This window comes from Homo sapiens, chromosome 13 (assembly GCF_000001405.40).
Source record: "Homo sapiens chromosome 13, GRCh38.p14 Primary Assembly".
In the NCBI taxonomy this organism is placed as follows: Eukaryota; Metazoa; Chordata; class Mammalia; order Primates; family Hominidae; genus Homo; species Homo sapiens.
Genome location: NC_000013.11, coordinates 94428172 through 94444554, shown reverse-complemented (window position 1 = coordinate 94444554; position 16383 = coordinate 94428172). Strand labels below are relative to the sequence as shown.

General features: G+C 38.6%; 1 protein-coding gene across 10 annotated transcripts in view; it reads left to right on the top strand.

Moving 5' to 3' along the window:
• The window catches only part of DCT (dopachrome tautomerase), a 112596-nt gene extending 104852 nt beyond the window's left edge, over positions 1 to 7744 (top strand). For 9 of the 10 annotated variants that reach the window (NM_001322182.2, NM_001322185.2, NM_001322183.2 and 6 more), the window contains 2 exons: positions 918 to 1119; positions 4479 to 7744. In NM_001322182.2, the coding sequence (NP_001309111.1) occupies positions 918 to 1119; positions 4479 to 4657 (381 nt within the window). In that variant the 3' untranslated portion in view covers positions 4658 to 7744. Of the gene's footprint in view, positions 1 to 917; positions 1120 to 4478 lie in introns of those variants that run through there. The other variant, XM_047430115.1, reaches the window with a different exon arrangement.
• The last annotated feature ends 8639 nt before the right edge of the window (positions 7745 to 16383 follow it).

Below are 16383 nucleotides of genomic sequence, written 5' to 3'. Positions count from 1 at the left end.
CAATGTGGAAATTTTGCTGTTAATATTTCAAAACATATAGTAATTGCTATATTTTAAAAGGACTTTAATGGCTTCCTTGAGAAAACATAAATGAGCACTTTGTACATTACCTTTTTAGACTTTCTTTTGCTGGCATAACAGCAAGAATTCAAGTGAGAGTTTATGAAATGAGTAGACAGAAGAGTATTCCTGGTGAGAAAAATTTACTGTTCCTTTATATTATAATATTGATACAGATTGAGTATCACTTATCTGAAATGCTTGGGACCAGAAGTGTTTGGGATTTTGAATTTTTTCAGATTTCGGAATACTTGCATTATACCAGTTGAGAATCCCAAATCCAAAAAATTCAAAAATGCTCCAATGAGCATTTCCTTCAAGTGTCATGTTGGCACTCAAGAAGTTTCAGGTTTAGGGGGATTTTAGGTTTTAAATTTTCAGATTTCAGATACTCAACCTGTAAACACAACTTTTTCTTTCTCTCCTGTTAAACCAAATCATCTCAATACTAGAACATGTATCTTATCATACTTGCCTTTTTCTGAATTTCATAATTAACACATATATGTTGAAGGCCTCAAATGTTCAATCTGCAACCAATGTTAAATCCAACATGAACTTTCATTTGCTCACTTGACAAAGGGGTTTATAGTCCTGCTTGGAGAGAGAGATTCATACATCGTTGAAAACTTAACTGTTTTTCTTCCCGAAATCTTGATCCTCGCCATCATAGTCACTCTATATGAGTTGATTTGGGCTTCCTCATGGTGGTACACAGAAGGGGGTATTCCACACATGGGTATACAGAAGTTCCTATGTCAAGAAGAAGTTATTCCACTTTAGAGAAAGCAACAGTCAGGTTGGTGTGATCGGAACAGACTGATTTATGTTAAATGCTGTGTCCAACTGTTTTGCAGGTTCTTCATTCCTTTACTGATGCCATCTTTGATGAGTGGATGAAAAGATTTAATCCTCCTGCAGATGCCTGGCCTCAGGAGCTGGCCCCTATTGGTCACAATCGGATGTACAACATGGTTCCTTTCTTCCCTCCAGTGACTAATGAAGAACTCTTTTTAACCTCAGACCAACTTGGCTACAGCTATGCCATCGATCTGCCAGGTAACTAACACAACTTCCAAATGGGTGATTCATTCATCTTCTAAAGAAGCTAGCTTTCTTGCTTTCTTTCTTTATAATGTAAACCAAGACCTTTAGCCGAAGCTTTCAGGTCTAGTTAAGTTTATTGACCATTTTTCTAGCATATACGTATTTAGCAAAATGAGCCTTTAAACTACCAATTAAACATCAGAAAGGGACTAATGAGCTGACTCTTGTTTTAGAAAACTGAAAGTTTTAAATAGATCTTATTAAATGAACTATCTGCTTTTACACCTGACTTGACAATTCTCTCTGAGTTTATTGGATTAATAAAAAACCTCCCTATGGTTCTTTGAAATTTCTAACCAATGAAATAAAAATGAACTAGCCACACTGTACAGGGACTAGCTGGATTTAGAGATTATTCCTTGAGGGCAGGGCTGGGATTAGGGTGAGGAAAGTACAACATTTGCCTTGAGCACAAAATTCAAGAGGAGGCCAGAAAACTCAGTAATCAAGGTAAGTAATAATATAATACAAAATTTTGGAAAGTCAAAATTAATGCAAAAAATTAACCATGAATAATACATCATCAAAATTTTAAATAAAGGCAGACTTTTGTTTGTTTTTCATACCCACATCGTCTTATAACTGAATCAGTCATTTCCCATTTAGCCTATACCACCTGCGATGGATAGGTTCATGAAGGCTGACATTGATTGGTCTACCAACAGATTGGGCTACGTGGGACTCTATGTGTATGTTGCATTAGTTACTGTTTTTAAAGTCATGTTTTAAGATTGTAGATTTCTTATTAACTTTTCCCACTTGGTTCAACATATGGGAGGATATTTTGACAAGTATATACAGGGCACATGTTTTTCTTTTTGGCCCAGGCCCCAATATGGCTCCACACACCATTTAAAGAATGTTAGGAGCCTGGCAACATACTGAGACCTATCTCTGCTAAAATTCAAATAATATTAGCTGGGCATAGTGGTGCATGCCTGTAGTCTCAGCCACTCGGGAGGCTGAGGTGGAAGAATCGCTTGAGCCCAGGATGTAGAGGCTACAGTGAGCCCTGTTTGTGCCACTGCACTCCAGTCTGGGCAACAGAGTGAGACCCTGTTTCAAAAAAACCCAAAAAAACAAAAACAAAACAATTTAAAAAATCTTAATCAAGAAGGTGAAAAATCACACAGCCTATTTACCCAAAGTCTCAGCCTAGAAAGCAATCAAGATGATTTCAGAGCTCAGTCTCTCTCTCTTTGACCTGAGTCTTTCAAGCCTGGCTGTAGTGGGACGCTTGGGCAGAGAATTACCTCGAATTAAGTTCAAATTTATGAAAGAGCCTAGGTACAGAGGGCCTTAGATGCCAGGCAGAAACCCCAATAAGATACCACCTCATACCCATTGGGATGACTGCTATCAAAAAAAAATAGAAAATAGTAAGTGTTGCTGAGGGTGTAGAGAAATTGGAATCCTTGTGCATTGCTGGTGGGAATGTAAAATGGTGCAGCCACTATGGAAAACAGTATGGGGATTCCTCAAAAAAATGGAACAAATAATTACCATATGACCCAGCAATTATACTTCTGGTATACCTAAAAGAACTGAAAGCAAGGTCCAGCAGAGATATTTGCACACCCATGTTCATAGCAGCATTACTTACAATAGCCAAAAGGTAGATGCAAACCAAGTGTCTGTTAGTGGATGAATGAATAAACAAAATGTGGTACATACATACAGTGGAATATTATTCAGCCTCAAAAAGGAAGGAGATTCTGATACATGCCACAACATGGATGAACTTTGAGGACACTAAGCTAAGTTTAATAAGCCAGACATAAGAACAAATACTGCATGACTCCACTTAGACTATGAGATAGTCAAATTCATAGAGACCCCTGGTTACCAGGGGTTGGGAGGGGAGAATAGGGAGTTACTGTTTGGTGGGCACAATGTATCAGTTTTGCAAGATATAAAGGTTCTGAGAATGGATGGTGGCGATGGTCGCACAACAATGTGAATGTACTTAATGCCACTGCACTGCCTATTTAAAAATGGTCAAGGTGGTCAAATTTATGTTACATATATGTTACAACAATTTCTAAAACATAATTTTTTAAAAAACTAAGAGGATTTGGACAAAAGCAAAAGGCAACCATTTTTTGGTCTTGAACAAAGAAATGGCAGAATAAAAATATATGTGTTTTAAGAAGATGAAGTTGGCAATAGGTGCTGCTGGGTTGAATCAGGAGGAGACAGATCAAAACCCTCTTGGAGGAATCCCATCAGGACAGGTCAGGACCTCCCATGGGATTGCAGAAAAAGGACTAGAAAGAGAATCTTATATTAGGTGAGTGTAAGGTATAGAACAAATTCAGAGGAGCTGAATTTAAGAACAGTTGGCCAAGGAGAATATAATTTTTAAAATAAATGAAAAATAGGCATATGTATATTAAAAATGAAATTCGGCCAGGTGCAGTAGCTCACACCTGTAATCCCAGCACTTTGGGAGGCCGAGGCAGGTGGATTCCCTGCAGTCAGGAGTTTCAGACCAGCCTGGCCAACATGGCGAAACCCTGTCTCTACTAAAAATACAAAATTTATCTGAGCATGGTGATGGGTGCCTGTAATCCCAGCTACTCGGGAGGCTGAGGCAGGAGAATCGCTTGAACTCAGGAGGCAGAGGTTGCAGTGAGCCGAGATCATGCCACTGTACTCCAGCCTGGGCGACAGAGCGAGACTTTATCTAAAAAAAAAAAAAAAAAAAAAAACCAAAAAATGAAATCCACTAATTTTGTGGAAGAGAGCTTATAAAATATATGAGAGTAGAAGATTGGATTTATCATGTGGGAGATTTACATTTTATTCACAACTATTTGAATGGGTATAAATATCATCTGCTTGGTTATTGAGTGTCTCCTGGTGTAATAGCCAGTCTGATCCCTCTCACAGGTTTATCATTCTATAAAAAAGGTAGAGACAATAGCAGAATTTCTCTTCCCAAGGGCTGTATATTTTGCAGCTCCCCAGATGCCATTTTAGCATGCACTTTCACAAATGAGTTTCTAACTCAGAAAAGTAGTTACATTCTTCCTTAGAAGGTTTCTTCGGCATAAGCATTTATTGTAACAAATTTTTAAAATGCAATAAGCTGTATTTAAGTAATGGGATGCCAGTTCTGACTACCCCAAGAAAAACAATTGTGGATATGATAAATGGTGAGAAAGGAGAAGATAAATTTTAGTCTAGCATGAGTAGTTTTGCTTTATCAACAAAAAGCACGTGAAAGGCAAGTGCGCTTGCTCTTTTTCTCTTCTGAAAGTATTCAGCTGATGAAAATCCTGATTGTAGACCCTTCTCTTCTGCTTTAGTTTCAGTTGAAGAAACTCCAGGTTGGCCCACAACTCTCTTAGTAGTCATGGGAACACTGGTGGCTTTGGTTGGTCTTTTTGTGCTGTTGGCTTTTCTTCAATATAGAAGACTTCGAAAAGGATATACACCCCTAATGGAGACACATTTAAGCAGCAAGAGATACACAGAAGAAGCCTAGGGTGCTCATGCCTTACCTAAGAGAAGAGGCTGGCCAAGCCACAGTTCTGACGCTGACAATAAAGGAACTAATCCTCACTGTTCCTTCTTGAGTTGAAGATCTTTGACATAGGTTCTTCTATAGTGATGATGATCTCATTCAGAAGATGCTTAGCTGTAGTTTCCGCTTTGCTTGCTTGTTTAACAAACCCAACTAAAGTGCTTGAGGCTACCTCTACCTTCAAATAAAGATAGACCTGACAATTTGTGATATCTAATAATAACCCCCCCCCCAATATTGATTAAGCCTCCTCCTTTTCTGAAAGCATTTAAAAAAAAACAAAAAAAATCCCAAAACATTGATCCAGGGGAGTCATTTAAATTTGCAGGTCAGTGCAATGTGAGACCTGGCCAAGACCATACATCAATCTTTCTTAGCCCCAGTGTCTTTATTGGTAATGCCATGGAGGTGGGAGTTGGTAGGTGCTAGATGAGTCTCCAAGATCCCTTTTAGCTATAAACATCTCTGCTTCTAGGCACCCTCCTGATTATCTTCCTTGGGCTTCTTTTTCTTCTTTTCTCTATATTTTTCCTCTCCAGCTTAGAAGATGAGAATAAGCCTTGTTTTCTTTACAGGATGGAAAATGACTAAATGAAGGATCAATTCCACTCTATTGTGTAAACTAGATTTTACGGATTTTACTTAAAATCTGCAGTTTTAAACAGTAGACCTATATTACAGGATTCAATAGCTGGATACACATTGATTCTATAGTGATAAATAGAGAAGATAATAAAATTATAGAGTTTCCTGGTTAGTTGATATGCTACTGTAAACCTATTAACAAATACAGAATTACTCTTTCCAAGGAAGGCTGACTGAAGGCTGGTGAGGCTGTAAACCTGAACATGAGACAATTTGACTTGAGTCCCATTACTCTGAGGTCTCTTTGGCTGATCCTCTACCAATTTCTTTACTAGGTAGCCTCAGATGAAAAATTATTCCCACATAATGCACTGGGCTTATTTTTAAGCATTGATGTTAGATTGATTAATGTTGCCGAATACTCACAGTTACTTATGAATGCTGATCAATTAAGTCTTATCATTTGAAAGCAAACCATCTGTACAAAACATGACAATTCAGAATTAAGTGGTTATATTCTGCTATGCAATCATCAGATCATGAGGAATAAGAATGAGACAATCTTTACTACGATGTTCAGACTTATCATGATGGACCCCACTTCAGAGAAGTTAATGGCTCTTGAGATTTCCAGGCAAATTTCATCTGCTCATATCTGGTTTCTGTGCATCAGGAGTGAGACTGAAGTTCTAGGGCGTGGCTTGTCTGTCGAGGCCCCTCTCTACTGGAATGAATGAATGTAAAGAATGGGTGTTAAGAGGTCCCTGGAGCTGCCTTCAACATAAGGGGTCCTAGAGGGTGCAAGACTCATCAAGAACCAGTTTACCCCATGCAAAAGGACTGCTAAAGCCAGAGAAATGGACAAAGCCCAGTTGGAACTGAATTTGAATCTCATAAAGCTACAGGTGCATCTGAGAGCAGGCTCAGTGGTGAAGATCAAGATAGCCCGGTAAAGCCCTGCTTGGGCTTTTTAGCCTCAGCCACATGGATACCTCTCAGTTCCTGCCATTAACAATATTCATGGAAAATACAGCACTGTGTCTTTCACATGCTCCACTCTGGAAGGTTTATGCTCTGAGCTCAGGATAGTTGGGGAACACATTTTTAAATCTTGGTTTTAAACAAAAAGAGAAATTTATTAAAATGGAGATATAATTGTGCATGGTACATATATTTCTGAAAAGTTATGTATAAATCAATTATGTTAAAAGCGCCAGAAGTTACTTTTTATAAGTGAACTATTACGAATAATTTCATAAAGCAAATAACCACCTCTAGCTTATCTGTCAGGTATATCAGAATTCTCATATATCATAGTCTCATAAGACTTGGTTAAAGCAGATCTATCTTAGGTAGGAAAAAATAGTAATCGATTATACTTAGCTGCTTTTATCTGTAGTGTGGGTGACTTTTTATAACTATTATGTTTTATAATGTCTTCCTGAGAGAATTTCCTAATTTTGTAGTTCATATAAGAGAAATACAATTTTCTAGCATTTTCTGACCTTACAATAAATCAATTATGAATGCATTTTAACAAATATTAAGGTAGGATAAACCAACAGAATAAAAAGTTGGTATTTACTTACATTGAATATCATGCAAATAAACTCAGAAAATGTCACCAAATACTGTGGGCTATATTTCTCAATGATAGGGGGAAGAATTCAACCTTGGAGAAAATGACCAGATCACTTTACTGCTTATATCTTCAGTATTAGAAAAACTGCATGTATGATTTTAATAGAAATGCTTTTTATAAAGCTAACATTCAGAAATGGGATAAAATGCAATAACATCTTTCCTTTGTGCATTAAATTCCCTTCTAATTCTAAAATTGACATTTGTATCTTGCTTAGGATTTAACATTGTTAATTATAATACTTTTAATGACTAGTTTTAATCTCATTATTAAGAAGTAGAAAACTTACTAAAAAGGAAACTAAAAATAAATGTTGTTTTGCAGATTATTGTTTGTCTTTTGAGGATTATTGTTTTTTAAGTAGTGTGCATCAATTCCCATCTTTTGGGCACTCAGCATGTATATTGAAATATATATACATGTAAAATATATAATAACAACCTCAGTCTGAAAAATAATCTCTTAAACTGATATGCTATTTTCTGGTGAGTTTCCAAACAATTGCTATTTTCTGAATCTGTTTGAACAGGTAGGAAAAGGAGAGCCAGCCTTTCCTCAGGTGAAGTTACTTTTGATATTCCCCACAGTTTAGTGACTAATCCTGGGGTGGAAGCAGGTGGCTGCTTCAAGTGACTGACCAGGGAAGAGAGGTCCTGCAGTAGCTAACTTGGTGATCTCCCAGATAAGCCTTCAAGATGGGTCAATTTGTTGGAGACTCTAAGGTTGAAGCTCTTCCTATTTCTATAGTGCCTTACTTATCCTGAGTATTTTATAAATATTCTTTGAATGAATAAGTGAATGAATAAACTAATTTCAAAGTAGAATGTTTCATTCAGAGCTTCTGACATCTGTTTTAAGATGTACTGGATAAAACATAAGATCCATCTCTGCCATGAAGTTACCATACAACCTATCCTTCAGATTTTGAATTGCACGTATGCTAGGTAGAATCATACTCTATGCAACCTAACACAAGGAGATACTCTTCAGGTGTATTTTCTTTCTAGATGTATCTTCTTCCTACTATTGGTAGGCCTTAATTCTACCATTTTTAGGGACTAGGATAGGAAGTTAAGATTTCTACCCATCTCTCCTCTAAGTCCTCACACATGCCATTTTAGGATCCTCCACTGTCTGATATCCTAAAAGCTTTGTTTCAGTGGAAGGAGTTAGTGGGCAAATTATTTAGTCAGGCAAACCAATGCCTCTCTCACACTGATGGACTCAAGCAGCAATTGCTTTAGAAACTCTCCAAAGATGACAATACTTTGACTTTAGCCGTAACAGCAGTTCAAGCTGAAAAAAACCCTTATGAACTTAATTCTGCTTTGGCAGGTCATTAAATGAAATATTGAAAACCATACACAAGAGTATTGTGAACTAGAAGTTAAAGTTTTCTAAAACAAAACAAAGTTAAAAGGTTCCTATTCAATACTTGCATGCTCTGTATAATTTTCTCCACAGCTGCATGTTTGATGGAAACCATTGGCCCACTTTTGTTATTTGCCCCATCAACTTTAGTCAGACTTCTTAAATCTAATATGACTGGATTTGGTCATTCTGTTAGCCATTTTCTGCTCTTTTGGCATTTTATGAACAAACTAAAACTATCACAGCGCCTCCCAAGTATAATTGTACTGGTTGTAAATAATGCTAAGTAGAGATGCTTGAGCTTGGCCTTCTTTATTAAAACAACAGATTTCACTGCCAGAGTTATGCACCCTGATTACTCCTTCACTTTGTATGTTATTGAGGGTTTCTGAATTTGCAATTAGCCCAGTGACTGATCTTGATTACCAGGGGAGTGGAATTAGGCTTACAATAAAGCAAAACCTGCCCTCTTGTGTTTTATTAGAAAATTGCACAATGTAGTAAAGTTCTTAAAGCTATTTTCCTCTACCATGGTTGATGGTCTACCCCGAGTGGAAAAAAAGGCTGGAAGATTTGCCATGAATTCAGAAATCAGAACAGACAAAGCACAATATTTAGAAAGAAACAGTTTCCTACATAGGCTCTCACGATTCCCCGTTTAATCTATTTTGAAATGTTAAATGTTTACCAGTAAGCCAGAAAAGTTTAGAGGAACATTTCAGGCCACTGGGCAAAAATGCTTTTAGGCTTGGCAAACACACACAGAATATAATTTAGTTAAATATTATTTATATGATCACATTGCAGCTGGAAACTGGGGAAACTTATTTTTTCTATTAAAAACCGTCATCAACAAGAAAAATTTGGGGAACGTTTTTTAAAACAAATGTTGGATCAATGTATTAAAACTATATATAAATATTTGAACTCAGGTGTGGGTTGAGCAGTGTCTGAAGATGTCCTTTAGTGTGGAAAATTCGCTTTTCAAAACTGGGAGCCCATGGTGGCTTTATGTTAGGTGATTGATAAACTCAAGTGATAAAGAAAACATGGCCTCTTTCTAGTTTTTATAAACCTTTCCCCTCTAGGGAAATACACAGGTAAAGACTAAAGAGAAACACGTGCACATGTAATTTATTTGCTTATTCTGGCTAGTTTTGTTTGTCAGAAAATTGGGGCTTCGATTTTCCAGCTATGTCTACCTGCTCTTCTTTTCTGGTGGTTCTCTCTGGAAGAAGATTACAGACCTGGTGATAGTCATTGTTTTTATGGAGAGAAAGGAAAGGGAAAAACATAAGTGAAGAAACTGAAGAGTCTGATTTGAATCACATCAAATGCTGACAGAAGATGCAGTCTTTCCTGGAGAAGAACCATTAGCTTACTCCCTACTGATACACTATATAGCATACTTTGCTGAAGACCTATTTTCCAATGCGGCAAATGTATTATTATTTTAAATTATTATTATTATTTTTTGAGATGGAGTCTCACTCTGTTGCCCAGGCTGGAGTGCAGCGGCGAGATCTTGACTCACTGCAGGCTCCACCTCCTGAGTTCGAGCGATTCTCCAGCCTCAGCCTCCTGAGTAGCTGGGACTACAGGTGCACACCACCATGCCATGCTAATTTTTGTACTTTAAGTAGAGATGGGGTTTTGCCATGTTGGCCAGGCTGGTCTCCAGCTCTCGACCTCAGGTGATCCACTTGCCTGGACCTCCCGAAGTGCTGGAAATATAGGCGTGAGCCACCGTGCCCCACCCTGATATTATTATTTAATAATACTACTTAAGGTTTCATTTCCAGTATTTTTATTTGTTTTTTCAAATAGCAAGATTTGTCTTGATCATTGCCACTAATCAGTTTTTCCTTCCTAAAATTATTTTTGTATTTTGAGTCTTGCATTTCATGTCAAGGAGGTGTGCACAGCAGAGACATGTATGTCTTGGTGCTTTAAGTCATTAGGCTCATTTGTACGAGCAAATGACTGGTCTCGAAAACAGAAGCGTAATCTCTATAATAATCCGTGCAGTTAGCTATTGCTTCTTTTTCTCTTCTTCAACTGTGGCAAGCACACAACTTTCAGGCTTTCCTAGCTTGAAGTCTGATTTGAGCTGCCCATTTTCTTTTCATTTTAGGCATTTTACAATTCCGAGACGTGTAGCATTTTTATAAACTCAAGGTCATTTTCTTTCTTTCTGTGCATATCTCTCCTCACTGATGTCCTCTTATCAAGATGCAGGCTTCTTTGTGTTTTTAACATTTTTACTTGAGATATTTCCAACGCTTTGATTCCGTGCTGACTCTAAATCGTTTGCTGTCAGCTACACTTAGTGCAGATCTGGTGCGTCTCGGCCGCCGCTCAGTCCACCGAGCTCTTGACAGCATTATCGGGCCTCTCCAACAATCAAAGGGCTCTTGCAACCCAGTAACATGCAAATTTGTTCTTTATCTGCTTCAGTCTGTCGCAGCGCACATTTTGCAGCTTAGCTGCACAAAAGCAGGCGTGATGAAAATCATTCTGAAGTTGACGCTGGGAGTAATGGGTATAAATTCATTGTTTTTAAGCAACCGCTACTCACAACATGCAATTACAGTGAACTCACCTTGCAACTAGATGGCTGCCTTAGAGCTGGTTTCCCCTTGCTGGAGAGATGATGCAATTGAGCGGCTTTTATCACAGGGCAATCTGCTCACCCTTGCTGTACTTGTCAGCAGGTAATCCCCCTGCTGCTCTCTGGGTTTGCCCAGGCTTCTGGGTGTGTGCTTATCTATACACAGTCCCAGGAGAAAACAAATCCTCCTCTAGGTGCGGCAGCTCCTTCCCTTTTTATGTCTGTCAGCTTACCCGACTAGAACTTGTTCCTTTCCAATGAACACTAAAAATGCCACCAGGAAATATTAATCTCAAAAAGCCCACTATATTTTTTTCTACTTGAACCACCAATAAGTGACTTGACCTCCCTGTAAGAAATCTCTGGAAGTCTAAGATAAGGGTTCTTGGCTCCCATGAATAACATGGTCTTTCCTGAGCCCAGTGACAAGTTAGTTTCAACACACTCTGGCGTAATTGTAATTTTCTCTGTAGAAGCGAGCACTGAGTCTGTGGTCAGGGAGGGCTCTCAAGGGATATTTTCAATGATAAAGGGGCACTTTGGGAATAAAATATGAACAGGCCTCAGCCGACGTGGAAGTGAAACATGTTAGGAGAGAGTTTTTTCTTTTTCCTTTTCCTTTTCATTTCTTTTTTTCTTTTTTTCGTGTAAGAGAAACATAACATAAAATTTGCCATCTGAACCTTTTTAAAGTGTACAATTGAGTGGCATTCAGCACGTTTACAATATTCTACAACCGTTACCACCATGTTTCCAGAGCTTTTTCATCATCCCAAATAGAACTCTGTACTGTTAAAAGAAAACTTCAGACAAATTAAATTTGATGGAATTTAATTGAGCGAAAAGAAGAATTAACCGTTCGTGAATCGGGCAGCCCCCAGAATCACAGCAGATTCAGAAAGACTCCAGGGGTGCCTCGTGGTCAGAAAAAAATATAGACAAAAAAAGGAAAGCGATGTACAAGGATTGGAAGTGAGGTACAGAGATAGCTGGATTGGTTACAGGTTGGCATTTGCCTTATTTGAACACAGTTTGAACACTCAGCAGTCTATGAGTGGCTGAAGCATGGCTGCTGGAATTGGCCAACACTCAGCTATTGTTACAGGCTGCATACTCCTAAGTTAGGTTTTCAATCTTGTCTTCCTATTAAGCTAGGTTAGGTTTGTCCACAAGGACTCAAATATAGAAGTACACAGTCCTTCTCAGGCCATATTTAGTTCACTTTAACAGTACCCATTAAATGGTAACTCCCTCCCTATGCCTCCTCCCACCAGCCTCTGGCAACCTCCAACAAGGCTTTGGGAAGTTCCTTCCATCTCCATCCTGAGACCCTCAGCTCTGTGATTTGGATGGGAATCTAACTGTCTTAAACAAATTACTCTATTCCAGACCCTTGGCCATGGTGTCTCAGCCATGAATGTGAAACTGAAAGCCAAATAATGGAAAGGCACTTTTGCTGAGGGTTCTGAGAAATGAGGCCCAAAGACCAGGTCTCACCCCTGAGTCACATGATGTGAAGATGTGAAGGCTGGAAATGTAGCAGCCATCTTACCTGCTAGAGGATTTATAGTGGCCACTTATTAAAAAATTTAATTTAATTTAGAAGTAGCCACTTAAAAAAATTAATTTAGACCAGTTTGAGTTGGGGGTTTCTCTTACAAGATAAATAATCTTAACTAATGAACTCATCTTCAGAGAATTTAAAAAGAAAATGAGGAAACAGAAGCATTGGCTTTCTTGCTTATTTATTTGTAGATACCATATTCCATGTTTTTAAGTGAGTAAAAAAATTTTTTTTTCTTTGTTCTTTAAAGATTGCAAGAAACGGAGTGATGTAGCAATTCATAGTGAAGGATGCCAGCAATATACAGAAACAGGAGCATGTAGTGGTTCAGCATGGCCTCTGGAGGCAGACAGAGAACGGGCATTTAAATTCTAGCTCAATCATTTATTTAGCATGTAATTTTTCTTTAACTTGTATTTTCTAACTGCTCTGGACTTTAGTTTCCCTGTCTGCAGAAGGATGTTGATGCCCCTCTTGTTCCATTTACACACACACAGAGGCTGTTGTTAGAATGAATTGAGTTAATCTATGTAACTTCTTCAGAACAGTGCCTGTCATTAGACGGGGTGGTTTAAACAATGGAAATGTATTTCTCACAGTTTGGAGGCTGGAAATCCAAGATCAAGGTGTCGGTAGGGTTGGTTTCTCCTGAGGCCTTTCTTCTTAGCTTGCAGGTAGTCATGCTTTTGCTGCCTCTTCAGTCTTTCCTCTGCGCATCTGCACATGCCTGGGGTCTTTTTGTGTGTCCAACTTTCCTCTTCTCACAAGGGCACTGGCCAGGTTGGATTAGGACCCATCCTAACAGCCTCATTTTAACTTACTCACCTCTTTAAAGGTCCTGGCTCCAAATATGGTTCCTTTCTGAGGTACTGGGAGTTGGGACTTGAACATATGAATTTTGGGATTCAACTTGAAACAGAGAAGTTGCTCAATAATATTTAGGTTTTTTTTGAAGTTTTAGATCTGGGGTTACACATGCTTGTTTGTTACATGAATATTACATGTGTAATGGTGAGGACTGGGCTTCTGGTGTACCCATCACCCAAATATTGAACATTGTACCCAATGGGTAACTTTTCAACTCTCCCTCCCCTTCCACTCTCCTGCTTTTGGATTCCCAGTATCTGTTATCTCCTTCTTCATGTCCATGTCTGCCCATTGTTTAGCTCCCACTTATAAGTGAGAATATATGATATTTGATCTTCTGCTTCTGAGCTCACTTAGGATAATAGTCTCCAGTTCCACCCATGTTGCTGCAAAGGACATGCTTCATTGTTTTTTTATGGCTGCATGGTATTCCATGGTGTGTAAGTACCACCTTTTCTTTTTTTTTTTTTTCGAGATAGAGTCTCGCTCTGTCACCCAGGCTGGAGTGCAGTGGCACGATCTCGGCTCACTGCAAGCTCCACCTCCTGGGTTCACGCCATTCTCCTGCCTCAGCCTCCCGAGTAGCTGGGACTACAGGAGCCTGCCACCATGCCTGGCTAGTTTTTTGTTGTTGTTGTTTTCGTATTTTTAGTAGAGACGGGGTTTCACCGTGTTAGCCAGGATGGTCTCAATCTCCTGACCTTGTGATCTGCCTGCCTCGGCCTCCCAAAATGCTGGGATTACAGGTGTGAGCCACTGCGCCTGGCCATGTACCACCTTTTCTTTATCTGACCCACCACTGGTGGACACTTAATTAGTTCCATGACTTTGCTATTGTGAATAGTGCTGTGATAAACATCTGAGTGCAGGTGTCTTTTTTATAGGCTTTCTTTTCCTTTGGGTAGATGCCGAGTAGGGAGATTGCTGGGTTGAATAGTAGTTCTATTTTTAATTCTTTGAGATATTCTCATACTGTATGTTTTCCATAGAGGTTGAACTAATTTACATTTCCACCAGCAGCATATAAGCGTTCCCTTTTCTCCACATCCAAGCCAACATCGTTGTTGTGTGGCTTTTTAATAATAGCCATTCTGCTGTAGTCTCAGCACTTTGGGAGGCCAAGGCAGGTGGATCACTTGAGGTCAGGAGTTCAAGAGCACCCTGGCCAACATGGTGAAACCCCTTTTCTACTAAAAAAAAAAAAAAAAATAGCTGGTTATGGTGGGGGGCACCTGTAAAACCAGCTACTCAGGAGGCTGAGGGAGGAGAATTGCTTGAACCTGGGAGGTGGAGGTTGCGGTGAGCTGAGATCGCACCACTGCACTCCACACCGGGTGATAGAGCGAGACTCCATCTCGAATATATATATATATATATATACATATATATATACATATATATATATACATATATATATATGTATATATATATATGTATATATATATGTATATATATATGTATATATATATGTATATATATATATGTCAATTCTGATTAGTGTAAGGTGATATCTTAGGATGGTTTTAATTTGCATTTCTCTCATGATTAGTGATGTTGAGCGTTTTTTCATGTGTTTGTTGGCTTGTTGGCTACTTGCATTTCTTCTTTTATAAATGTTGCTATTATTCGTAAAATCTTTTTGGAATACCTTTTAGGTAAATCTAGTGCAGCAGGTTAGATTTCATGGATCAAGACAAGAAATCCTGGCTTCAGAACTCAAATATAGGCTCTTCAGAGTACATAAAGATATTTGAAAAGCTAAGTGGGACTTAGCTCTGTAAGCTCATTGCTCTTTCACTCATGGCAGAAGAACCTGTGTGATTTTTTGGTGCTCAGGTGGGTCACTGAGGTACAGGTGGTTCCAGTTGGCATCAAGATCTCTCACCACTGAGTGAGAAATGAAGAAAAGGAAGAGTGACAGAGAGGGAAGCACTTCAAGGAGATCCAACCATCCTGCTAAGCCCCAAAGGGCACCATTGCCTTTTCCACTTGGTGGAGAGAGAACTGGAATGTAAATGGTGTGTGAAATGTTAAATGTGAGTGAACTTTAAGCAGTTGACATGGTGCTTCTGCTTCATTACCGATTGCATTTTTTCTGCTAGTGAAACCAGAGAAAATGTTCCCAGTTTCCAATTCTTTCTAAGAGATGAACAGCTTTAATGGCGGGCTCAGGTTGGACTTACTACAGGCATACTTTGGATAATCACAGCCTCCTGTTTTCTTGGTTTGCCTGCTGGGCTTAGCTTTGGGGTGGGAGAGAGGCAGAGGGGTTTGGGTGATTGGGAGGAAAAGAGCTGATTAGCTCCTCACTGCTCAGTCTGGAGCTTGAGCTATTTACTGCCTTACAAAACAGTCAAGAGAAATGAAGAGTCTTCTCTCTGCTCAGCATGTGTCCAAATCCTTGGAGGCTTTGACTTAGAATTTTAACCTTCCAGAGGTCATTTATTTGTCTTTGTATATTTTGTTGTCTTTCACACATTTGACTGTTGTACTATAACATATTCTTCCAGAAATTATGCACTGACACTTTAGGCCTGCCTTACAAATTGCACATTGGATTTGCTTATATCGTTGAACCAAAAAAAATTGTGAGCTATGTTGTGCTGTGTGTCACCTGTCAGGTAACAGCTCAGTTTCAACAGAATTGTTAGGTTTTTCTCTCCTGCAGTATTTGTGCACCTATTTGAATATTTAATTTAATGTTTACCCCTTAATATTTTAGAAAAGCGAATGCCAAATGAAGCAAAAAAAAAAAAAAAAGAGAGAGAAGGATTAATACTAGTGATAAATTTCACAAATAACACACGTGAGACAAAGATGGAAACCAAGTGGGGGTAGATTTAACTTCATTGGAATGCAAGGTGGATATCTATGGATTTAATTGTGAAGAGAAAGAATAGAAAGAAATGCAAAGTCCTAAAAATATATCCTCAGAAATTACATCAAAATGGTGAGGTGTAATTAGGAATTTTTGTAAATATTTTAAACTCTCTGGAAATACATATTTATTGTTGAATTTTTATTTCCAGCTTCTTTGGCTATTCCCT